Source organism: Homo sapiens, chromosome 4 (assembly GCF_000001405.40).
Source record: "Homo sapiens chromosome 4, GRCh38.p14 Primary Assembly".
Classification (NCBI taxonomy): Eukaryota; Metazoa; Chordata; class Mammalia; order Primates; family Hominidae; genus Homo; species Homo sapiens.
This window is the reverse complement of record NC_000004.12, coordinates 102,516,586-102,544,291: the sequence shown is the minus strand read 5'-3', so window position 1 is coordinate 102,544,291 and position 27,706 is coordinate 102,516,586. Positions and strand designations below refer to the sequence as shown.

The 27,706-nt window shown below is 35.9% G+C and overlaps 1 protein-coding gene across 12 annotated transcripts in view; it reads right to left on the bottom strand.

The window, feature by feature from the left end:
• NFKB1 (nuclear factor kappa B subunit 1) overlaps positions 1-27,706 on the bottom strand; it is a 115,944-nt gene that overhangs the window by 73,011 nt on the left and 15,227 nt on the right. For 6 of the 12 annotated variants that reach the window (NM_001382626.1, XM_024454069.2, NM_003998.4 and 3 more), the window contains 4 exons: positions 18,735-18,780; positions 14,378-14,456; positions 10,407-10,447; positions 6,336-6,434 (listed from right to left, as the gene is read on the bottom strand). In NM_001382626.1, the coding sequence (NP_001369555.1) occupies positions 6,336-6,434; positions 10,407-10,447; positions 14,378-14,456; positions 18,735-18,773 (258 nt within the window). In that variant the 5' untranslated portion in view covers positions 18,774-18,780. Of the gene's footprint in view, positions 1-6,335; positions 6,435-10,406; positions 10,448-14,377; positions 14,457-18,734; positions 18,781-27,706 lie in introns of those variants that run through there. The other 6 variants (NM_001382627.1, NM_001165412.2, NM_001319226.2 and 3 more) reach the window with 4 other exon arrangements.

Here is a 27,706-nt window from a genome sequence, read left to right as displayed (position 1 = left end):
CAAGAATAAAAAAAGAAAAAATCTTAAAAAATATTACATAGATCATTTAAAAAGATAGCTGCTATCAAAAAGCTAAAGTGATACAAGCTATAGCATGATTCTTAACCATGTTAAATCTTTCCCTTTGAAAATATGATAAAAAGTTATACTCATCTCCCAAGAAAAAATGCACATACATACATGTGTAAGTCTGCATATAAATTTAGGAATCTAAAAAGCGTCTGAAACCACCAACAGGGATCCATAGACCCCAGGTTACAAAGCCCTTCTGTTCAATAAGCAGCTTTTCTCATGGTTTACAAAACACACAGTATAATGTACATAGGGGTATGGTTATTTTCCCTAATTAAATACTTGCGCAGTGAACAGCTTAGGGGTTCAATGGAAATCCTAATAAATGATATGAACTAGGTTCTATACGCACACATAGCTGATTATTGGTGATTTTCTCCCCTGTTGTTTTAAGTAATTGAGTCAGGTTAAATTATTTTAAATTAGTACTCCAAATAGATCCAAACCACGTGAATCAGACAAGTCTATACAAAGGAAAGGGAGATTATGCAAGGATATGTGATATCCTCAAATGCCACAGCAGATCGGGTAGTCTCTATTCGACCTCGACAGAAACTTAACATTTAGGATTTTTAAGGAAAGGCACGAAGAGTGGAGCCTTTTTTTTTTTTTTTTAAATCAGTAGTGGAAGGGGACAACAAAAAAGCTGTTGTTGACCTAAACATTTCAACACGTCTTCCACTCAACATAAAACACTCAGGAAAGACAACATATGTGAGAACCAGCTTTCAGAAAATGTTTGATTAAAAATAGTTACACTTCTATCAGCTGGGTTTCAAGTCCCTTGCATTTGATATTTATAACTAAAGAGAAACTAAGAATACTAACTGGTAAGCTATTTGTACTTTACAATCAAAGTCATTCTTGTCAATTTCTGGTTTTGCATAGAGTGGACCACACAGAAGGACGTGTCACATTAGTTAGGATAGGAAGGGGTACTTTCTGGTCACTCTAGAGGAGGATTGGTGAGAGTTTCTGAAGTCCCATGGGGCTGCTTCTCTTGTCACCCACCTCTGTGAAAGGGAACACAGTTTGATTTTTAAAACTTCACGCGTGGCTTTCGGGAAAAATAGGGAAGTGAGCCTTCCCTGGCACTCCTTGCTGAGTCAAAAGCAGGCAGGGACAAGCTTGGCCTAGAGGAAGGTTCCTGTGCTTTTCTGCCAGCCTCTCCTATTAGGAGCTCCGTGATGAAATTAGAATGGAAAAAACTTTAAAGGGAAATTTTATAGGCAGTATAATAGATTATTAAATGTTTAATGATGGGAAATTTTTCTTATGAAAGGACAAGATATAAGAGTTAGTCTGCATACTTACTTCCCCTAGATTTTTCTCTGAATATTATTTTTTGCTATAAGAGTTAGTACAAACTACATTGTGACAAATACATTTTTATCTAGACAGCAAAGAGGAATCAATAGGATCAAAGTGAGTACCAGTTAATCTTCAATGGCGTCCAGTTTGAACCTATGTTTGCCCTGAAAAGGAGCCATCCTATACAATGGCAAATTTGGGTTGAAGTTAGTAAAAATTAACTTTCTTGAAAATGCCAGTATTTATAGATGCATTCTTATGTAGTAAAAATATAAAAACATCTTGGGGAGTGAAAGTTCAGAGTAGCAGCTTACCTAAGAGAAGGAAGGAGGACAAAGTGATGGATAAGTGGGGTTTTAGCTGTAACTATTTTATTTGAGAGAGAGAGAGGACAGAGAGAGAGAGAGAGAGCTATCAAAAGCAAATAAGGTAAGATGCTAATACCTATTAAATTTGTGTTGTAGTACATAGTGTCTGTTATGTCAATTTTTAAACTTTCTATATGCTTGAAAGAATTTATAATTAAAATTTTTTTTAAAAAAAGAGCATGAAGACTTGCACAGCAAGATATCAGAAAGCTAAATGGAAATTTTCTTCTTAGCTATGTGAAAGACACAGGCAGAGCACCAGATGGTTCAGTAGCCTGAGTTCTAGAAATAATCTCAACATGGTAAGAGGGTCTGTAAGCTAGCCTACACCTATGCGAAACAGGGTTTTATGCATGGGACACTATTCCAGTAGAAAATGCAGGATTTGAGTAGACTTCTAGAGTTGGTTTTAAAATGATTTAATGTAAGGCATCAAATCTAGACAATCAGTAAGAGAGTAACCCATACAGGCTATATTTTCACATGTTCTATAAAGTATAGTTTGGTGTCTACAGCCTGCAAACCACAGCCAGGCCCCAAATCTTTCAAGTTGGCCCCTGACTCTTTCCTGCTGTCTCCATATGACCGAGTATGCACTGAACTATCAGCGTTTCCAGGTTCCTCTCCAGGCACCGCAGAGTGGTGGCGCTCTCACAAAGGCATGACAGGAAGACAGGGTGTGAGGTTGGAAGGAGAGAGGCTGTAGCTGAGGAAAAGCACAGCCCATGGCATTTTACTGTAATGCCTGAACAAATGCACTTAATGAATATGTGGCAAATGTAGGCTCAGAAGTATCATTTCTTTCCTGTAAATGTAAATGCTCTCCCTCTGAAGTTCCTGTGGGAATGGCTTCTGGATTCTGGGGGTGAGTGTGGGGCCACCCTCCACGAGGCCTCTGCCTACCTGAAAGCATCATTCCATAGACCCTCCCATTGTTCACACACAGTGGACCTAACTCTCCACTTTCACTTTTTCTTCTGTAATAGTTTATAACAGTCAATAGAACTCCCACATTAGCTTTTAGGGTCATCACAGAATACAAAATGTTGAAGATACATATTTTATCTTTTCTATCTTTCTCCTTAGTATCCAGGTACACTAACTCTGATATTCTAACAGAAATTATACAGACACCATGATCACCATCTTGAAAATAAGAAATATCTACTAATAACCAAGAAAGGCACGTTTATAAAATAATACACTTGGACAATTCTACGTAATCTATGCGAGACAACTTTATAGTAGAAAAGTATGCAAATGGGTAAGGTTAAGGTTGATTCTTTGTTGCATCCACATCAGTGGTTCTCAAAGAGGGGTGATTTTGCCCCCCAGGGGACATTTGTCAATGTGGAGACTTTTTGGATGTCACAATTATAGGAATCCTATTAGCATCTAGTGAGTCAAGGTCAGGGAGGCTGCTAAATATTTTATAACGTGTCAGACAGCCTCCCACAACACAGAATTTTCAAGCCCCAAATGTCAATAATGCCAAGTTTGAGAAACTTTAGATGTATCTATCCCACTGTTTCCCTTACAGTCTCTCGCCGAGCAGGTGCTTAGTAAAGTACCACAGAAAAGACATGCACAATTTTAAAGGTCTTCCTGATTAGAAAGATGCATGGAGAACAATTTTTTCCTCTGCTTAAACATTAGAGGGAAAGGGGATTTAAAATTCCTTTGTAAACTTAAAGGTCATCCTGAGCAGAAATAACTATTAAAAGGGATATTTGGAGAAGAGCTCTGGAAAAAAAAAATACCTGGCCGTTGTCTCTTTCTTTCTCTCCTACCCATCCTTCCAATTAAGAATTTCTTGGATAAATAAAATTACTTCCTATAACTGTTAGGAACAGCAGAACCATTTCAATTTTCAGTGAACAATGACAAGCTAAGGGAACAATGACAGCTTGTATAGTCATATTCTCTAACCTCTAAGTTCCTCCTCCTCTTACAAGTTGATTAAATGCTTATAAATGGATACTGAATTAGTGAATAAAAAATAAATGATTTGGTGAAATAATGTGACTGTAGTTGAACCTGCTTTATTATTAGTCGTTTACATATCTATATTTCCCAGTAAGTACTAAACTCCTTGATATAGAAACTTTCATTCTACAAGAACATCTAATGCCCACTAAGTTGTTTCATTTGTAAATTATTTTGTGACTGAGGCAGCAATATGTTTTTGAGTAGATGAAACCTCTACATGAGAAAGATGTATGAAGACTGGGAATAAATGGATGTATAAAGTTTTTTCTTAGCCAATAAATTTATAAGAAAGTTAATGCCATGTGTTTGTTAGTATCAAGAATTGTTACTTAGTCACAAAATACTAGAGCAATAGAAGTAAACAAAATACCATAATTTATATTTTTTGTGCCAAGCCAGTCAGAAAAAACTCCCAGTTTTTCGCTTAAAGTTAATTCTTCAGTCATTATAGTCAGTGTCAATGCTGATAACATGTGTCTTTCAATCCCCTTCTCACAAATATACACATACATAAAGGCACAATATTTATACATGTGACACACAGACACATGTGTTAAAAAGGTAAGTGCTGGGCCTGGCTTCCCCAATACCTGAGTACCCATTGACCAGTGAGCCTCTCTCTCCCTTGTTTTCAAGAGTTATCATTCACCATGCCTTTTTACACCATTGTCTGCCCATAATTTGTCCCTTATCTCCCTGCCCCCAGTACCCCAAATGCACACATTATATCTGAGAGGTTCGGTGAGCAATAGCCTGCTGCAGGATATAGAGCCACTAGTCTTGTGAGAAAGGCCAGTTATTATAATTCCATTCTCTGAGTCTGTTTGGGTTCACAGGCATTGCACTTTTTACCTACTGAGATTTCTAAGAGATTAAAAGAGATAATGTTATACAAACCACTTGGCAAGTCTTTGGTGTTTAATAAGTGCAAATTAGTTCTTTATTGCTGCTCCTCATTCCTCATCAAGGTTCTAAAGGATGTGAGGCCATAAGACCGTGGTCTGCTTCTGTGGACTTAAGCCATCATATTTACCCGCCTAATTACCTTTAATAGAAAAAACATCTTTCATTCCACAATTGGAGCTAAGAGACTTAAAATGCAACTATGACTAGTAGTACCCATACTAAATAATGGGTGAGTTTCACTTGAAAGGTAAAGAACGACGTCACAACATTTTGTCTTTTGTTTGGGAATAAGGATAAGAAATTTAACAGGCCTGGGCCTAGAAGATGGATAAGAGGAAAAGGAAGAAACAAAATGCAAGGCTGGCAAAACCAAAGACTGATTTCTTTCTTTTTTTTTTTTTTTTTTTTTGAGACAGAGTCTCGCTCTGTTGTCCAGGATGGAGTCCAGTGGCACAGTCTCGGCTCACTGCAACCTCCGCTTCCCAGGTTCAAGCGATTCTTGTGCCTCAGCCTCCTGACTAGCTGGGACTACAGGTGTACACCACCACACCCAGCTAATTTTTGTATTTTTAGTAGAGATGGGGTTTCACCATATTGGCCAGGCTGGTCTCGAACTCCTGACCTTGTGATCTGCTAGCCTCGGCCTCCCAAAGTGCTGGGATTACAGACATGAGTCAACGAGCCCGGCCAGATTTCTTTACATCACAACTTTGCTGAGGGCCTGCTCTACTGAGCTTCATCTACTTACAAAAACAAACCAATAAAAAGACTGAGTCCAAAAGTATGTTACACCCTGAGGGGCACACACACATAGTGAGAACTATTTTGTCCAAGCCTTGAATTACTGACTAAATAATAACTTTTATAAAAAACTAAATTACAATTGTTGACTGCGTTTATCTGCAAAATGATTACCAGTCTATGTTTATCATCAGTCAGTCTATGAAACATAGCATATTATGAAATTAAAAGTCTCATATTAACTTAAAGAAAAATATTCTCAAATAAACAAACAGCCTGAACATGGTAAAAGGTATGACCAAATACACCACCAGCATGTCACGTAGCAGTTCATTCCAAGAGGGCCACACATCTGCTCAGGCCAAGGCCCTAGGGTACTTTCAGGCTCTCTATGGAACATGTACACATTTTCTCATTTAATCTCTAAAGGACCTTATGAAGTATATACTATTAATATTTTTGTATTTTATACATTAAGAGACTGAAGTTTAGAAGTATTGGTTAAACCTATTCAAAGCTACACAGCTAATAACAAAGTCTGGATCCAAATTCATAATCTTAAATAATATACTATATAATCCATACACTCAGTCACTTGTTTGGTTTTTCACTAAATCTCCAAAGAGTCAAAATCAACCATTTCTTTCAAAGACTTACTAAAGTTTCAGGAAGTATCCAATTTTTAAAAATATTTAAGATGATCAAGAAATAGTAAGTTTGTTAGCTAATGCTGAAGACATTTCTACTAAATTGAAATGTTAACAAAGTTTTAGTATCTGTCACTTCTATTGCTAGGAGACAAATTTCTATTTAAAAATTTTAATAATCATGTGAACACTTCAGCTTAGGAGCGAAGGCAACCCGTACTCATTTAAAGCAATTCCTTGGAAATCGTAGGAAATCAAAATTTCCAGAATTCAAATAGAAGGAGAGCTACCACAAACTTACTTTGACCTGAGGGTAAGACTTCTTGTTCTTTTCACTAGAGGCACCAGGTAGTCCACCATGGGATGGGCCTTCACATACATAACGGAAACGAAATCCTCTCTGCAAAGGTGAACGTTAAGCCAATTAAGTTTGAGAAATACTTATTAAAAATTACGGCAACAAAGGTACATACAAATTTTTAAATCTTATGTCTACTAAATGAGAGAAGAAAAACATGAAACTGTGAAAGAGGGCTCCGTAAACAAGAATCACTTTTCCCGTAATCTTACTACGAAAAATGGTATTAATTGATATTTGTACACTAAGATATGGCTAAAAAGCCAGGTACCTAAGCCCATGGAACCTCTCATGCTATGCATGTGTGGAGAGTAATCTGCTGAAGAGTTTAGGCTTTAGACTTAACATGTTACGGCTTGTTCTAGTCAGAGCTTCCTTGTCTTAAATTGCTGCTGCCAAGCTCTGAACTGTACCATATTAATAAAAGTTATGCTTCCTTGACTCTTACTTAAAGACATTCCTTTATCTACTCTGATTACAGCTGGTTCAGCAGGGACTACAGACATGTTTATTTAGATATACTGTTTCAGCGTTGTAGAACACACCCTGTGCTAGACCCTGCATCTGTTAAGCTTCTCTCAGCATTTCAGAGGATAAGATTTTTGTTTTTATGATTATTAATATGGTCAAGCTCAAGATTGAATATTAACCTACCAGAATGATTCCAAAACTAGGTAGTTCCCTTAAATACTATCTAACCCAGAAATTTTATAGATATAGTTAATTAATGAAGTTAGCTGGAAGCCTTCACTATATAAACTACTGTGGGCTGATAAACACCTAAGAAGTGTCATATTTTTTCATTTGTACAAAAGGGAAGATTATACCAGACCATCTTTAAGGTCTACTCCAGTTCTAACTTTTTATGATTTATAAAGTTAACTTATTCATATTTGTATACAAAGAATAAAACAAGGATAATTATGACCTCATCATCATATTAAGGGAGGTTTCGCTGTATTTCCTGATTCAACTTTATAATGATGTCAATCAATTTGTGGTAGTGTTAGTAGTTTATAACCACATAGTCGCTTAAGCAGATGATTTTCTTTTTACAGATTCACTTTTTGGTGAAAAGAAAATACGTTAAGATTTTTTAAGGAACATTCTCACCTTTTGTTTCTATTGTGGGACCAACTCTGCATATACAGCACTAGATCATCTGCCCATCAGCTCATCACACCCACTAGCTGCTGGTGGGGGTTCACTCCCTTACTCATTAAATTGTGGAACCCCAGCAAACATGCAGATTTTGACAGCTTTGAGCTCATGAACAAATGTAAAACGTATGCACTACTTAGACTATACTACATTTCATTATGCCAAGTAGGGTCTTGCAGTCTCTGAGCAGTCCAGGTGCCTTGAACTGATTTAAATCTCTGGGAAGCATCTGGAACTGTTCCTATATTATCCAAAAACTTCCTGATTTCCAAAGATCAGTCCTCAAACACATTTACCAGATAAGTAAGGCCTAAAGTAAATTCCCCGGTCTGGGAAATTTCCTTAATGCACACAAATGTCTAAAGTTTATGATCAACTCATCACAGTGAGACCTAAAACAATTCCTTGGGAGATTCCAGATCTAAACACAAGGGAAGCCTTTGGAGATGAAGTTTCAGAGGTAATTCCTTTGTTTTGATTCTCACACAATTCATATTTAAAAATAATTTACAATTTCAGCCCTATGCCTTTTGTAAGCAAACACTGTTGGTTTTTTAAATAATTAAATGAAATTTCTAAAACCATGAAAAAAACAACACATGTATAATAGCCTGCAGAATTAGCTAACCATAAGAATAGAGATTTACTTGACTGCTAATTTAAACACAACTTGAGTTTTTGAACAGTATTAGTTAATTAACACTGATTAATATGCAACAGAACTGGATGTTCTAAAAATTAGTAGTCTATGCTATGACTCATCTCCGTCAGAGCTGGGGAAAATCTGTGGCTAAGAGGTCCCAAAGAAAAAAGAATCTTTTTCTAACTTAAAAAAAAAAAACAAAAAAAACCCCAAAACCACACACACACAATTCATTATCTTTAATCACAAAATTCCTTTGGGACAGTTGGAAAAATATAGACACGTATGTGTTTATATCTTATTGGGAGTGGTGTCAAATAGACAATACTTAATAGATATTTTTCATGGTTACATACGAGTATCTAAATCCTCAGAAGTTTTTAATCTGAGGATGAAAATTTACAACTGTTTTCAGGAAGATGTCGTCAAATGCATTGTCTGGATGCATTTCTGATTCTAAATTTCTGAGATCAAAATTTTGCCTTTAATCCACATTCACTCATCTCAGTAACTCCATTTGCTTAAAATGAGTCATCAACCTCAAAGGCAAGGCTACATCCATTCAGTCAGAAAGTCTGACTTGAATACAACCTTCTTACTTTCACTGAATTCAGATATCAAAATAGCATCACTTTGGTAAACACATTGTTTTACTCACATAAGCTTTTATATGAATTAAATTTTGAATTTTGGAACTACATTAACCCTTCAGGTAAATCATAAATGCCAATTTTTCCTTATAACTGTTGGATCCATAATAAGGAATTACATTTAAAAATTCTTATTGTAGTGCTATGCTTATGAAAATGATATTGGAAAAAATACTTTGGCATATGCAGACAAATTTCAGTTGATTTCTGTTTCATAGACTACCTAGATCTTAAAAGCTGGGAAATTTTCCAGGATGCCAGAGCCCACAGAACTTTAAGGGATAAAATTTCACTGGGAATTGATGACCTTCTCTGAGAAATAACTGCTTAAAAGAGTTGAACATGGAGGTAGAGCAATGGAGTGTTACTGGCAACCTGAGGAGTCAGGATGTGACACCTGCAAGAACTAGAACCATGCCCCAAAGTTTCATGTGGCATTCTTGCCCCCACAGCAAAAACTTTCATCTAATTTCAACCTTATAAGGATAGCCTGTTCAGCAATCATTAAGACATTTATATCAAATGCTGACCAAATATAACACATATATAATGTCACGATTCTGGAAACCACAACGCAGTGGATGCTTTATTTAAGCTTGTGACCTAGTTAGCATGTGTTAAATGTTACAAAATGCAAAAGTGTTTCACTCACCTGAGCTAATGAAAAGAATACTTAGAAAATGTATTGGGTAATACAGCTGCAAGAGGACAGGTATCCATATCCTCAGTCACACACAAATGTGATTAGTTTATCCATCCAAAGATTTACTGACTGTCCTCATTCTGTGGGGAACTACACCATTATTTCCATTCCCTAATAACTGAAACCTCCTATAGGCAGACATTAAAGATTGCCTTTCTTTCTCTTTCACAGCATTGGTCCCATCCAATTTCCTATAAATATCCACAGAGTTGGATACAGTGAGGAGGCCATTTCAGTTCTGAGCTATTCTCTACAGACTCTAGTGGTAAGGGGAAGCACCTGAAAAAATGTTCCTCTCCTGACTCCAAAGAGGCTGACACCAGAGGGAAGAGAATTCAATAGTTCATTCTAACATTTTACTTCCCACTGGTACTTTCAGTATGTTAGGTTACATGTTCCAAAGGCAGCACAGAAAAGGCTGGGGCTACCAAAGGAAGGAGGAAGGCTAAGAGGTACTACATGTGCAAGGATAATAGATGGATATCGCTCAGTGCATGTGAACTGTATGCATACGTATTTCCTTATAAATGAAAATGAATGGAAATCACCTCTGCCTTTCCTGGGAGTGGCTGGTAAGTTAAGCTGGTAGAGACAGCAGAATACTGTAATTAACTGTAATTCTAATACTGTAATTAACTGCAGTTTTACAGAACTACATACTGAGGCTCAGGACAGTGTGAACAATGAGTAAGAGAAATGTAAAGTGAATGAATAAAGCTGTTACATAATTTGTCAGGTTGTTGATCTTTCAGATAAACTACTTCCTTCATAGAACTCATTTACTATTCTTCAGTGCTTATGATCTCAATATTAGACACTGGAATCTAACATTTAAAGTCCCACCCCTTTAATCTTACCTGTTTAGGTTGCTCTAATATTTGAAGGTATGGGCCATCTGCTAAAAACAAAAACAACAAACAGAAACCAAAAGAAACTGTGAGGCTTCTCAAATTTGGTATAAAACGTAAAGCAAGTAAAAAACTGAAATTATGTTTTTATGTAGAAATTTCAAATCAATTTTTGGTTAAAATTCCACAAGGATATAATTTCTCTTCCTTGTCTGAAATATTAAATTAACCCTTATTTTAACAATAGTTTTACGAGTTTAGCGAACCACAATAAGTAAATGTTTGTTGAAAGGTGATGGCACATTTCCTAACCCAATAAAAGGCATATGGCCGGCAAGAATTGATGTCAACAGCCTTCATAATCTTGTCTCCTAACAAAGCATTTTAAAATGACAAATACCAATTAAAAGCAGCAACCACTTCTGGGCACTATGACATTTTCTTTGGCCTTCACATCATTAGACACTGACTTTCCTTCCTCAAAGAGAGTGTGCTTAATGTGAAATTAAAAGATACTGATCTAGCAACCTGTATGTATACGTCTGATAGACAGATAATGATCTCAGGCTATCTCTTTTTCCTTACACTAGGTTTTCTGTTCCCGTCTTTACTTGAAGGGAAAGTACTGCCTTCATTCCTTAACTGGTTAGTTTGTTTCCCCTTTCCTCCCCGACACTCCCAATGTAATCTGGTCTATCAGACATGGTAAAATTTTCATATTAATCCATAACTTTTGATGTTTATAAGCAATTTTGAATATTGTGCTATCATATAAACTGTGTTCTAAAACATCTCAGGCATTTTATAAAATACTGAAAATAATTTAATTGAAGATAGGTACATGCAAATTAGTTATTGTAAAAACGCAAAGAAAACTAGAGGCTTAATCCATACCCTAATGGTATCTGACTTGAAAATTCAAAGGAAAATCAGAATCTCTGACAACATAAGTACAAACTGTTCAATATGAAAAAGTCCTTAAGCTTCCCAGCTGATTTTTATGTCAATAGTACAATAATCCATAGCTTTGCAATAAATAAAGGCATATGGTGGTTCTCATTTATTTGAATGTAAATTAAGATGTTTGGTGCTAAAAATATTTTAGGAGAATGCTTGTATGTCCATTTTAATCTTCATTTTCTCTCAGAAAGAAGCTCAAGACCTCTTATTTTAAATAAATTTGTAAGGAGATAAACCTTCAGGTTGAAATTAAAAATAAACTATAACACAAAAGAGAATTTTCTCAAAATTTTTTTTATTTTTTTTTGAGACAGAGTCTCACTCTGTCACCCAGGCTGGAGTGCCATGGCACAATCTCGGCTCACCACAATCTCTGCTTCCTGGGTTCAAGCAATTCTCTGCCTCAGCCTCCAGAGGAGCTGGAATTACAGGCGCCTACCACCATGCCCAGCTAATTTTTGTATTTTTTTAGTAGAGACGGGGTTTCACCATCTTGGCCAGGCTGGTCTTGAACTCCTGAGCTCGTGATCTACCTGCCTTGGCCTCCCAAAGTGCTGGGATTACAGGCGTGAGCCACCTCACCCGGCCAGAGAATTTATTTTTATCTTTTCAATATTATGATAAATCAGGATAAGGCTAGAGAACTGGAGAAAACAAGGGTATAATTACTTCCTGTTATTATTCAAGAAATTTACAAGGAAGCGAGTTGAAAAATGAATGCATCTGAAATGAAGCATACACAAGAAAAAAAAGGGGGAGTCACTGGTCAATGTATTAAATTACCATCTTTTGTCTGTATGAAATTCACCCCTGGACATTTTAAATTACTTTTAGAAACATAATCATAATTTAAAAATTCCCCCACCAAATGGCTAGAATTTAATTTTGGATATGGAAATAAAATTGATTAGAAATAGAAATATTTTCACACTAAGATACAGCCTGTATGACAATGTAACACTTATAAAAACATTCCCTGTTAAAATGGTGAAAGAACATATCAAGACAGTCCTCTAACAGAGCAATATTTGGATGTCATGAAAAATACAGAGGAGTTGGAAGCATGTTTACATTAAACTTCAAGTCTCTCACTTTTTATTAACTCTGCTAAAAACAACTGCAAATTTGCTATTATTTTTCCTGTAGGATTTAATTTCCTTTAAATATGTGAAAATTCATGTAAAATAGAGCCATTTTTCCTCTTTCAGGCAACACATTAAAGTTAAATCAACTAGAAAATTAGATTTGATATGCATGTATTTGTTGTTTTAAGGCCAACATTCTTTTGGCCACATTTCTGTGCCATGAAAAGGACATTCCACTGTGCAGAGAAATTTAACTTTAGACCTAAGAGTTATGTCGCATCCCATAGTCTTCAACAAGTACTAGATCTACTAAAGGTTTTAGATTTCAAAAAATCTAGAAGACTAAAATAATCCATTTTAGAGTTACAAGTTAATATTGGTTTAGATAATCAACCTCTCTACCTCTTTAAAAATTTGAATACAACATCCTATATATCTTGGACTATAAAAATTGTACTATGACACTGCAATGAAGAGGGAAAAACATACAGGTAAAAATGATGGTGTAACAACAACTAACAAATTAGATTTTTAGGTGTAATTTGAATAGTTTTTCTAATATTATGGCAAAATAATTTCTACAACATAAAGCTGTGACCACAGAATATTTACTGAGATGGTTATCTTGATAATCTTATTTTCATGCCCATAAATCCGAAGGAATAAAATTAAGAAAACGTCTGCCTCAGGATACTGTTTTGTATTCACAAGACATTAAGTGAAAATGTGTGTATTTCCTGTGGACAGAACCAAGTTCTTATATTTTCAGTAATACATTAATACTAAGAAAAATACTTTGAACTCCAGAATTAAAAAGTTCCCAAGAAACACACACACTACCAACACATTTACTTGTTCACAGGAAGCTGACCTAGAGCTCAAATTGGACAGCACTTCACAAGATCTCAGACATGGCAGCCTAAAAATAATGTTTTGTAGGGGTAAAGACAGAAAAACCTCTGAAATACACCTTTACTAGTGAAGGTGAAAGTATAGTAGATCTACTTTTTTCCCTCCCATGAACTCCTAGAAATACTAAAGATATAAATGCAGAAAAAGTTTTCTGATCTAAAACAAAAGAAAAGTAAGTACTGTAGTAACCATGATAATTTTAAATGAGAATAATACAAATGGGATAAAGTCCCCCAATGAAGACAAGCAAGTCCCTGGTAAATAAAAGAGCTGATGCCTCCTTCAGCGATTACCAAACTCTGTTTTACACATAACTTCCATAATTCACTCACACTGCTTTTGAACATCTGTTAAGTCCCACTGGTGACGGGTGAAGTGAGGAGAGAAACAGAACATAAAAAGAGCCATCACACCAAGCTTACATACAAATAAATCACTTTTTTTAAGAAAGAGAGTTTTTTTTTTATTACTCTTACGAAATTAAACAGTTGCCAATCGGCACAATTAATACAGTCATGGTAGAAGGAAGGATTATGAGTTTTATCCAACTTGTCAGAGTGCAAAGTTATAAGCTTTTATAAAGATGATTTTTCTAATGAGATGATTTTTATGATTTCTGTACACTTTGATTCCCCAGTGACTGGCACACTGGTAGTACACAACAGGCCCTCTTAAATGTTTGAAACAGAAATGAAGAGTGGAGACTGCCTCGTGTGAATCTGGGAGAAAGGACTTAAAAGGAATACAGAGATAATAAAGAAAATCCTTATGTTGACTAAAGAAATTCCTTCTGAGTAGTCCTAGCAGATATGAAATGCAGTAAACCATACAAGGGGTAATTGAGATGAAATATTTTTGTGCAAATATATTTCAAGAAAGTATGTTAAAAGATTGGTTTTTAAAACAAATCACCATTTCCTTTCTAGGTACACAACTGAGTTTCTAGGACAGACTATTAACAAATCCTGCATTTTACTAAGACTGAAAGCAGAACAACAGGGTAACAGGGATGAGTTTTCTTACCTGTTGGCAGTGCCATCTGTGGTTGAAATACTTCTGGATTAAATATTGTATGAGTCAAAGAAGGATCCAAATGAAACATCTGTAAAGAAGAACATTTAAATGTTTCAATCATTATTTTTCCTATATTATATGAAAAATTTGAAGTTGGGACACCTAAAATGTAATAATAGGAATGAAACTAAAGCCAAAAACAAAAATCTGAAAATATTTTAAATCAGGGTTTTAAAAGATCTTCATGAGACCTAGGTAGTTCTCATGTGTACAAAACTTTACATAGGGTTGGACAACGTTTACGTAACAAAGGGATTTGAGAAGCATAACTTGGCTATAAAGTCCCCAGAGGCAGGGACCTGGTCTAGCTTGCTTACTGGTATATCTTCAGGGCCAAGTACATGCTTATCACAGAACAGATACTTAAATAGTTGTTGAATGAATGATTTGAAGCTTGTACTCTCTTAGAAGTATAAACAAAATAATATAATCCTAGAAATCAGTATTTCCTCTATGGTGGTAAATATACCCCTCATCTAGCTATCCAATGTCAAGGCCTGAAAGAATGCTAGAGAGCACCTCTGGGACTATTTACAGAATAACTGAAAATATAACTGACAGTACAAGGAGTAGACAACTAAGCACTGAGCTCACTCATTTCTTTTACCTTCAGTTTCCTAGCATAACACAAAATACCTGGAATCTAGTGGGTGTGTTAAGCTGAATAACGACCCCCTAAACATGTCTGCATCCTAATCCTCAGAAACTGTGAGTGCTACCTTATATGACAAAAGGAAATTTACGTATGTCATTAAGGTAATGATAATAAGATGAAGAGAGTGTCTTGAATTGTCCAGGTGGGCCTGATGAGAGGGGTTCAGGAAATCACACTGAATAGTAGGAAGTATGACAAAGGAAGCAAGAGGCTGGAGTGATGAGAGGGTGCACAGGGAAAGCAGGCAGCCACTAGAAGCTCAAAAGGCAAAGAGATGAGAGCTGCAAGAAGGAAAGCAGCCCTGCCAACACCTTGATTCTAGATTTCTGAGCTCCTGACTCAGAAGTATAAATTTGTGTTGTTTTAAGCCCCAAGTATGTGGTAATGTGTTAGGGCAGCAACAGAGTGGGCATGCAGAATATTTTGAAGAAAGTACATTTTATCTTAATAAATTACTATTCATTACTTATCAAAAAACATTGTAACCGCTGGCTCATTTAGGACTTTAAAACTGTATTTCTGAGCTTGCTATTTATTTTAGCCTAAAGAAGTTATATGTTTGAAATGTCTGTGGACAGCATGGAAACCAGCCATATTTTACTTTTTATGAGAGACTAGTAAGTGTGCTGAACTAGCTTTTCGTTTCTTTTAGTAGCCAGTATTACAGTTTGTCTCCTGCCCTTAGTAGTAAATTATTGAAAGTTCTGGGGTACTGAAGATCTTCGTATGCCTAGTTAAATTAAGAGTAAGAAAAATCTCGTTTAAATAAACAGTACTTCAGATCCATTTGAGGGATGCAAATTTTCAACTGAGGAACAAAGAATGCGCTTCACTTCAATGCTTATAAGATTAAAAGCTCACTGATGCTATTCATTGTTTGCTGAAAAGGAAATACAGGAATGAAAAACCATGTTCTGCAAAAATGGGCCTCATTTCATACAGGATTTTAACAGTCTCAGAGCAAACGTGATAACCTAGCAGGAAAACTCTTTCCTGTGGTGGCTAAATGACTGGCGAGTGGGCAAAAGGGCTCACCTTAGGAGAGAGATATACTCTTCACTTCAGACTAAGAGAGAAGTTGTGTTGTGCTGCAGCTTGCATTGTTTATTAGGTCAGGGTGGAGAGCAAATTCCAGACTCCACTAAAACACTGAGGACATGCAAACTTTAGGAAATATAAACCACCAAGCTCAAGCCAAGAAAGAAAAAAACTTCAAGACCGCTTGCCTCAAAAATGGAAATGTCAGAATATGCCCCACCCCTGTTACTGATGATCGCAAAGATGCCCACATAAGAAAAACTTTCAAAATGAATGTTTTCAGCAGATTTTACTCTTCTGTGGCATAAAGAATCATCTCTTGTTGATAAGATTTCCTGTGTACAGACAGGAAAGGATGGTTTAAAATCAAGCAGACACAATCCTCATGCTGGTTAGTTCGCCCTTAATTGTTAGAGAAAGCACAATAAAAGCGAAAGGTAAAACAAACGGTTTTGATAATACAATTAGCCAAATGTCTTTGCTGCAATAAAAGAAAATGTTCCTAGATTTATCCTAAATCACCATTTTAAAAATAAAATTAGAAAGGAGCATCTTAATGTGAAAAGCAATGCAGTCATTCTTTCTAAATCAATCAGAATATCACCCGAAGTGATAAATGCTATATATGTCCATTTTATTTATAGAAATGATACCAGAGCCTTTAAAACATATTCCACTTCTGTTTTTATTTTTCTGGCTGATTCTTTGCACGTGTAATTTCAGAAATCCACTATTTTAAATGATTTCCACTAAAATTTAAATGTGACCAGGCTATCCTGGCACCTAGTGTTCCTTCACCTTTTCTAGTCTAGCAAACTACATCTTTCAAAACACAGCTTACGAAGACTTCCTTCGGAAAGTCCTCCGTAACTCTGCTCTTCCTCCAAGGTAGCACCTAGTGATGCTGCTTATTAACATTTCTATCCCGCTCTGCGCAGACTACTACTACAGCATATATCACCATATGAAAACAATGTCTCTGTTCTTCCTATTAAAATAGTAGGTTCCTGAAATTAGAGTGTATATATCACTTATTTTTTCCCCACTAAGCCAATGTTCTGGCACGTAGTAATACCTCAATAAATAGCTGATGAATGAACAAATCTCCATGTTTTAAATACTTCTTGGAATCATTACATAAATAATTTAATATTGCCATTATAATTGCTCCAGAGTCTGAAAATTGCTTCCAAATGATTATGTATATACATATACATATATACATATATACACACACACACACACACGAAAAAGAGAGCAAAGAGAAAAGCGAAAATGTCGGTTTTAAGAACCAATGTAGATTTGTTAGATTATTCCAACATTTCTATTTATTTTTTCCAACATTTTTCAAAATAAAATATAGGAGAAAAAGAAAAAAGGACACTGCTATCCTTTCATAACTACTAATATAATGATAGGAACAGTTTTATGCTTACAAAGCACATTCATTGAATATTTTTGACTCATCCCTGTTAGTGTGGTGCTAGCATTTCTATTTTACAAATGAGAAAAGTGAGGATTACGGGGACTAAGTGATTCTTCAAGTCTGAGGAGCTGATCTGTAGTAGTCAGTACTTATATAAAGATCTTCAAATTCTGAGTTCAAAGATCTTTTCACTACAACAATCTGTCTCCTTACTAGATGAGTTTTAAATAAAATTTTTTTTTGGTATAAATTGATGGGGTACAAGTGCAATTTTGTTACATGCATAGATTGTATAGTAGTCAAAACAGGGTTTTTAGGGTATCCAACACTCAAATAACATACATTGTACCCATTAAGTAACTTCTTATCATCCACCCCCATCCCACTGCCCTCCCATCCCTCACCTTTCTGAATCTCCATGGTCTGTCATTCCACTCTCTACATCCATGTGTACACATTAAATAAATATGTCAAGGGGCTGTAGTGGGTTAAACTGTGTTCCCTCCCAAAAAGACACCTTTAACTCCTAATCCCCGGTACCTGTGAATGTGACTTTATTTGGAAATAGGGTCTTCGCAGATATAAACAAATTAAGATGAAGTCATATTGGATAAGGGTGTACCCTAAATCCAATGATGCCTTTGGAAGAAAAAAAGAGGAGATTTAGGTTTAGAGACACAGTAGAGACACGCCGGGAAGAAGCGCACGTGACAATGGAGGAAGAGATTGGAGCGATAAAGCTACAAGCCAAGGATTCCCAGCAACCAACCAGAAGCTAGGGGAGAGGCATGGAACAGATTCTTCCTGAGAGCCTCCAGAAGGAACCAACCCTGCCAACACCTTGATTTCATACTTCTAGCCCCCAGAACTGTGAAATAATGTATTTTGTTGTTTTAAGCCATCAGGTTTGTGGTGATCTGTTATGGTAGCTCTAGAAAGCTAATACAATAGCTATCCTGTAGCATATACAATTTTTGTGCAACAATATGTGTGAAAGCGGGTGTAAGTTACTCATTTCACATGACATATCCTCTCCAACTTCACATGAAAGGACAGAGAAACTGAAATTAAAAAAAAATTTACTAATTTTAGAATTTTCCTAATGCTAACTTACTAATGTTGCCTTTGCATATTTTTGAAATATGAATATATTTAAATAAAGTTATCAGTGAGATTATGACACTTACTTGTTCAGGCCTTCCCAAATATGGATCATCTTCTGCCATTCTGAAGCTGTGTATTAAAACAAAACAAAACAAAACTGTAACACTAGAATGAACTTTAAAAATTCTATCACCATGGAATTCATGCAGGAATAAACTGTATTATACCAGTAAGACCAAATATAATCCTTTTTTGAAGACCATAGGAGGAGGACATGATGTAGTTCCTCTTTGGTATCTAAATCTAACAGCAAGGAGATTGCATAATCTAGGAATTACCACTTACGTATGATTCAATACCCTCGTGTTAAGCTCGCCACAGTGTCCTGAGTTTGGTACAAATCATCTTTATGCTTTGTATAAAAAATCATACATACTGGGATTCTTAGAAGCCATTTCTTTTTATCGCCCTCTGAACTTCAACGATTTACAGTCTTAGTTCCTTAAGTGTATTGTTTTCTAACCCTTCATAAACCTTGTGATGGTCCCAGAACTGTCTCAAAGTTTTATACAAGGTTGAGAAGCTCAAAAGGGACTGATCAGTACTCTGCATAACACAAGGGGAGGACTGCTATAGTGTACCAGGCTCTGTCCTCTAGTGCAGGCGTCCCCAAACCCTGGGCTATGGATAACGCAGCACAAAAAGAGGTGAGCAGTAGGCAAGCCAGCCAAGCTTCATCTGTATATACAGCTGCTCCCCATCGCTTGCATTACTGCCTGAGCTCCGTGTCCTGTCAGATCAGCAGTGGCATTAGATTCTCATAGGAGCATAAACCCTATTGTGAACTGTGCATGCAAGGGATCTAGATTGCCCGCTCCTTATGAGAATCTAACGCCTGATGATCACTGTCACTGTCTCCAGATGGGTCACTGTCTCCCGTCACTCCCAGATGGGACTGTCTAGTTGTGGGAAAAGCAGCTCAGGTCTCCTACTGATTCTACATTATGGTGAGTTGTATAATTATTTAATTACATATTACAATGTTAATAATAATAGAAATAAAGTGCACAATATATGTAATGTGCTTGAATCATCACAAAATCACCCCCAGCCCCCAGTCTGTGGAAACGCTGTCTTCCACGAAACTGGTCCCTGATGCCAAAAAGGTTGGGGACTGCTGCTCTAGCGTGTTCCACAGAAGCAAGCCATGTTTCTGCTGTTGTCAAGCTGGTACAGAAACTCTGTAATATTAAAAGTGCAATAAAAATACAAAAATAAAAGTCCTTATTATCAAGGCTATAGGTCTCAGATTTAATCAACTCCAGCTAAACATTAATATACTGCAGGCCCTAGCAATCTTCTATTACCCAGAGGCCCTCCCTGATAGAAGCAAGGAACCACATGGTCAGATAAAGATAGTATCTAAAATCACATATCATTTGAGATTTACTTCCTTGAGAAATGTCCTTATTATTATTCAAATAAAGGTTAATTTTATTTAAATTTATTTAGATCAAATTTTAGATATGTGACATGAAAAATGAGAAAATTAAAGAAACACAAGGCTGAGGGTAAATATTAATTCCTGGGGTTATTTTTCTTTTTTTTTTTCATAAAGTCTATCTAGCAGTCATGAGTACTTAGGACTGCAGATGAGAATGTCAGCTACCCATCAAAATATGTTGTCTCCTTTTCCATAGAATTAGTATTGTAGCTGGAAATGTGACTGCTTACCTAGTGTATACCCTACACTTCGTTGGAGTTAGAGATGGCCATCTGACCAAATGCTCACCAGTGCAATGTCAGAACTCTTGCATACCACTTCCAGGTCTGGGCTTAAGGCCCTTGACATGCTTCCTCCATAAAAACTCAGACATGGAGAAGACCTGGCTTCTACCAAAAACATGATGATTAATAGCCTAGGGGATGGCAGATAAATGAGAGGGAAGGAATGAGGATCCCTGAACAATGCCATGAGACAGATCTGCTCTGACCATCCAGGCTGCTCATGCTGGTGGTGATGAGAGAAAGAAATAAACTTTGTTCTTTAACCCAAATGCACTGTCAGGTCTCTTTGTTCAAAGAGTTTAGCCCTCACCGTAATGAATATATCACATAACACTCCAATAAGCACAAAGCCCTCCAAAAAAGAATCTGATTTTCAAAGAAATCCTCTCCTGCTGGAGCACTGTGTGAGTGAGGAAGAGTGAGAAAGCTGATGAGCATTCTAGGGGGATGCAGAGCAGTGTACAACTTTAACAAAAAGGAAAGGGCAGCTCTGAGTCCTTCAGAACATGAAGTTCATGCAGATTTGCAGGGAAACATTTGTCTAAAACAAGAAAGTATTGATTGAAGATATACAGACAGCCACAATTAAACAAATCTCAATTAAGACAAGCAGTTAAAAAAGGGAAATTTGACCTGATAGAGTAAAGAGGGTAAGTCGCTTGAAATTTAAGAGTTCTATCATGCTGGCTGTGTGATCTTGGATATTAACTAAACTCACTGTGGCCTTTGTTTCTTCATCTGTAAAAATGACAGATTTTGATGGAATGGATTTTTGAAAAGAATATAACCTTGTTGAGATTAGAATATGTTAATTAGCAAATAAATGCCTATTCAAAGAACATATCCCCTAAGTCTTAATATTTTTTGGTAAACTTGGATTTTTACACGTATTTATGAGTATATATCTATAGTAAAGAATCATTAGCATAGTTTTCAGTTATAAGAAGAATACTAGTAAAAACATTACACTTAAATACAGTACTGAATACCAGCTAGAACAATCAATGTCAAAATCCCTATCCTTAGAATACCACAGAAGCTCAAACTTCCAAGAAAAATATTAAAACCATCTTTGCCCTTAAGCTTTCTGTCGATCTAGACTGATCTCCTGAACCTTCATAAATAATATTAGCCTATGGTCCTCAAAAACAGAGGTGAGGCTGTTGATGTGTTAATTATACTGATTATATACATTTAAACCTGTGGATGGTTTTCCAGACTTCTGAATGTAAACAGTTAACATAAAGCAGTCCTCACTCTAATTTTTAAAATTCAAACGAAACCTACTTTATTAGAACTGATGCATGATCACTACTATAGCTAAAACCTTAATGAAAATCTGTCAATTGCAGGCACCCAACTGCCAAATTAAACATGATCTTCCCCTTCAATATCCTCCCCATGATTTATACACCAATTCTTGCCAAAGGATCACAGTTTCAAAAGCCTAACAGCAGTCCAAGGCTCACGTGGGTGATAGTTAAAATTTGAACTTTTATAGCCTTTGCAATACAGTTCACTGTAAAGAGCTGAGGTAACAGTAACGCTATGGTGATGTCAATGTTAATTCACAATTTAAAAATGAAATGTCAAAAGAAACCAAGAATCATTTGGAAAGGATGAATCACTAAGTAATATTTGCATTAATTATAAAAGCAGGTTTTATTTCTAAAATGTTGAAATACCAACTAAGCGTCTGGAACTAAAGGATTAGAAAAGACCAGGGAAAACCCCTTCTACCTCCCTGTTCCCCCAGCCCTTCCCCTCACTTTCCCTTGTTCAATTCTTTGCTTTTGAGGAAGGACCTTGAAGCCAAAAGGGCGATAGTAAATTTCCAGGGGAGAAGATGGGACTAATCTCTGCATCTCTTTTCCCAGTAGTGAGGTTTCTAGGAAGATTTTCACACCATGGAAAAAGAAATAGAAAGTATAGCTAGCTAGCAACAAATAAAATAGCCAGTGAATTGCTTGTGTTTTTTCACATGAAAAACATAATGTTACAACTAGCTTAGTTCTGAACATGTGATGAGTTCTATAAAATGCCTAATGGGTTATTTTCTGAACCTGTGTGACAATGCCCCCACTAACACCAAAGTGTAGCACATGAGCTTCTTGGTGAAGGCTGTAGGACTGAGTGGATTAACTTGAAAGCCACAGAATTGAGCCATTAAGGATGGAGTTGGGGGCACGCCTGTCCTTGTAACTGGGGAAACTTTCTAGGATCAGAGATATTCACACTTTTGACCATGACCCACTGTAAGAAAATGTATTCTTTCTATAGGATTTCATTTTAAAAAATAAAACCTTTTCGAACTCATTAAAATGATTTTCAGTTTGAAAAAATAAAATTTTAGGTGCCATCCAGAGAGTACAGTTGGGAATCAGAGAGAAGTGTCTCTACTTTCAAGATTATATTCAGCCACAACAGACACCACTTAGGTGTGATTTTAATACCTCATCTTGGATAGCAATGAGGATGAAACTACAAGAAAAGGGGTGGCTTTTCATCATTTCTCTGCTGGCTAATAAACTGATAAAGAATGTGAGGAAGCCTCTTCCACAGAGGAATTTTCTGGAGGAAACAAAATACTTTGCATAAAATGTGAAACACTCAAATGAGAGTATCTTTTGATTCTGCAATTCTACCTCAGGAATTTGTACTTAAAAATTATCTGAGCAAGTGTGTAAAAAAATAAGTACAAGGATATTCACTGCAGCAAGGAACTGGAAATAATCTGTATGTCCTTTGATAACAGATTGTTTAATTATAATTATCCACATTTATAAGTTAAATATGCAACTGTTAAAAATAATACAGTATACAATATAATCTGTATACAGTAACTGGAAACTTTTACTAAGTTATATGTTTCTATATTGTAATTTTCTAACTGAATTATGTAATTAGAAACATATATTTAAATAGGAAAAAGGAAAAATTTAAATCTCTCCTGAATTTAAGGTTTGACTCTGACATCTTTAACAATTAATGACATACAGTGAATAAAACATGATAAATGAGCCAAAAACTTCTAAGCACTACTGAAATCTTCATAAGAAATACAATAGAAAAATTTCAACTTTAAAAGAGCTGTTGATTGACAACTTTCTGATATTGGCTTAGTGGTGATGAAAGAAAAGTTGATCATGGCTTAGTTACTTTTTTTTTTTAAAAGCTGATTTCTGAAAGTTTTTAAAAAGGAATCAATTTGGTGCACTACAACATTTAGATTTGTATAAACTAATTTTCCATGTTTTAAAGCTCCTCCTTCCACTTCCACATCCATGTTTCATTTGGGTGCAATGTGATCAATTAACATGTAGAATAGCTACCTGATATACCAAATACATTGTGCTTGGAGCTGGTAAAGATAAGGTACCTGTTTACAGTGGAATGTCAATCCAACAGGTATGGCAGATACATATACAACATTCAGCTAGTGAGTTCATACAAAGCTTATTAACACCGAGTATAATACACAGCAAATGTTAGCCATTTTATTAGATGGCATAATAAGCAATATATGTTTGTGGTAAATTATAAAAAGAGGAATATAGACAGCAAAAGGTTTAGACATTCTGAGAAGACTCAAGTATTTTGTTTCCCATTCTACACTTATGGGTACGCTGACAATTCCCTTTCTAAGGTGGCTGGCTATGTGTCACTGCTAGATAAACTGTTTGCATTTTGCCCCCAGGGGTCATTTGGCAACGTTTGAAGACATTTTTGCCTGTCACAGCTGGATAGGTGGTCCTACTGGCATCTAGTGTATAGAGGCTACAGATGCTGCTACACATCCTATACTGCACAGAATGGCCCCTCACAATAAAGCATTATGCAACCCTAAATATCAATAACGCTGAGCATGAGAAACCCTAATGAACATCATCACATCATGACAGTGCTTTGGTTCACATGGAGAAAGAAGTAAACTTTACTGACTACCTCATGGGTAAAGAACTGTAGCTAGAACTTCACATATTTCTCTTAATTCTCACACCAATCCTGAGAACCAATGTCCTAGATAAGACACTGAAGCTGAAAGAGAGTAAGTCATTTGCTCAGGTTCATATAGTAATGCTAGCTAATCTGACCCCACAGTCTCTGGTTCTTTCAGTTGTTTAGGAGGCAGAAGTGGTTTTCCTCTTTGGCATATAACATTACTTATTTTAATATAGTATCTTTGCTTCAGGTCTCCCAAGTGTTCTGGTTAGAGCTAGTCTACCCATAGCACAGCCTGAAAAGCAGAATAGGATTCTGACAATACACAAAATGAGTTATTCACAAGGCAATCACCTATGAAGATAAAAATACCAAACAATGTTAACTCAAGTGATAGTTCTTTTTTTAAAAAAAAATTTTCTTTGGTCTATCTCAAAAGATAGAAGGAGAATAAAGAGATTCTCCCTGAACCATGTCTATACTCACTGATGGTATGATAAAAGTATATATACTTATAATATTATATATAATTATATACATATACTTACATATTAAAACTATATATTTTATATATATACTTTATATATAACATATAAATATTTTATATAATATATAATATACTTATATATGAAAACTATATGTGTATATACTTATATATTAAACTATGTCAAATGTATATAATATATATAATTTAAAACTACAGTATATTGAAATACTACCTGAATGTTTTCCTTCCTTCATTAATTTAGTCATTCACCTAAAAATATTTATGCCTACTATGCCAACAACACCAAAGTGCAAAAGAGTGATGCAGTTCCTGTACTCACAGAGCTTACGGTTGTGGCAGATTGAAATCAATGGCCACACTTTTTTTTATATGCCACTCAACAAGAGGAAACATCTATTTCTCTGTGCTTTGAGTCTTGGCAGACCTACGGACATACTCTGACCAATAGGAAGAGGTAGAAGTACAAGTTCTAAACCCAGCTTATAAGAGGCCTTGCAATGATCATTCTTGCTTTCTTGGAACATTGTTACCATGCAAACAAGCCTGCACCAGCCACTGGAAAATCAAAGACCATGTGGAGCACAGACAGGCAGTCCTAGCTGAGGCTCCCTAGCACCAGCTGAGTAGCCAAAACAACTTCAGACAAACAGCAGTAGGGCACCAGCTGAGTAGCTACAAACAGTACCAGTCAAGTAGCCAAAAGACCTCAGAGATTAGCCAAAGCAGGCCAGGCCAGATGAACTAGGCAGCCCACAGAATTGGAAGAAGTAATCAGTATCTTTTAATTTGCTTTGTGGTGATTCTCCTTTTTTTTAATGCAACAAAAGCAAACTAATTCAACAGTTTAGGAAGTAGGAAGGCAAATAGGCAAAAACAATGCAATATAATATGTGTCATGGGAAATGGAGTATATGTGGGGTATGGGTTAATTATCTTGGTAATTCAGTGATCACACTTTGTTAGAGTTCTAGTCAAAGCCCACTTTGTACTCATTTTTTTACTCTATTAGTTTACTCAATTCCCAACTGAACAAAAGAGGCAAGTATAGTAGCCAAAACACTGTGGTGTATACATAAAATTAAAACTGTTAAAACTTTCAGAGTGCAAATATTAATAAATCACTGTTAGCTTTAAGCAGTGATACCTTTAAAACAAGTTAATGTTTTAAATCCCTTCACCTCTCTATCTAAAAGCAATTTCATCATTCCTGCTGCAATGAGCCCCATTTTTGACTTTGCAATTTCTGCCAATATATCATTTTCACACATATCTAGTCAATAACCAATTTCTGCTGATTATTTTCTTCATGTTGTTTCTTGGATCTGCCCCTTCTTTCCAACATCCTAGGAGAGACCTTTATTGCTTCACCTCTGAATGACAGTAATAGGCTCTGTACTGTTCTCCCTCACTGCAGGGTTTCTTCCTCTTCAAGAATCTTTCACATTATTGCCATATTACTTATAAGATAAAGTCCAAAGACTTCAACCACTCAGCACATTACATTATTATATTAAATCATATTATAAGCATCAACTACTACTATGTCCTAATCAAAACCCTCTATGATAGACAGATTAATCATTCAGAATGACTTGCTCATTTCCATCTTGTACATTTGTTCACAATATGCCCTGCATCCTGAAATGCCATCTTTTCTACCTCAATAGCATCCACTCTTCAAGGCTCTAGTTAAATCCAATTTCTGCCAAGAAATCCTATATTTTTCCTATAACCTATAGCTCTGTAGTCACATAATATCTATAAAACTTATATATACTGGTGATTTAACACTAGACAGCATAGTTTTACTGCAATCTAACTTTACCTATATATTTATCATCTTCTCAAATGGATAGAAGTTCCTAAAAAGTAGAGATGGGAGTTTTGCTTTTTTGTATTGGCAAATTGGAAAACACTGGTTTTTTTGTTTTTGTTTTTTAAGTAATACTGTATTAATTTTAAGAAGCACTGCAATTTCAAGTTTGTCAGAATGTCAAATTCTGGTTTTAGTTATCACAGATTAACAGTTATCTGAACCTCCCTCCTTGCTATACTCAACTGTGAAACCATACAAAATACCTAAAGATGTAATTTAAGACATTGGACTTCATAGGGCTATATATTATAAGGTGATTTAGGTAAATTCTAAATTCGCCCTCACTTTTTGACTGAGGACACTTTCCAAATCATGACACAGGGAGAGCCCAAAGAGAGAACACCAATGGGCAGAATATCACAAAGAAAGGCTTTACACAAAAAGCAAGAGCCTCAGAAATCTACATAGGGGTCATCTCTGGTCACTGGCCAAATACCAAGCTGTGATAGTGTAGGACAAGACCCTGCAAAACCTAATAGAAAACAGTTTCTGGGCATCTAAGAGCTAAATGGAAATTCCGGACATCATATAGTGCTGAGAGACACTGAATTTGTAATAATCCAGGGTGGAAAGACATCACTGAACATTGTGAGCATTCAGTTGTGATTTCAGAAAGACCACACGATGGGAGTTAGAAACATCCTAAAATAAGGGCTACTCTAAACCTATCTTAATAAAACTAGGTGATCCACCAGTAAATTCACTGCCTGTTACAACAAAGCTCAACACGTTTTAAAGGAAGACAAAAAACCCAAACTCTCCACAATGTACAATAAAACATAATGAAGCCTGCAAAGAAATAGGAAAATAAGACTGAGAAAAAAAATGACACAAATGACAAAAATAGCTAATAGCATATGGTCAATAATGTAAAGGAAAAGATGAACATAATGAGAGAACAGATAGGCAATATCAGCAAAGAAATGCATACCTTTCTTTTA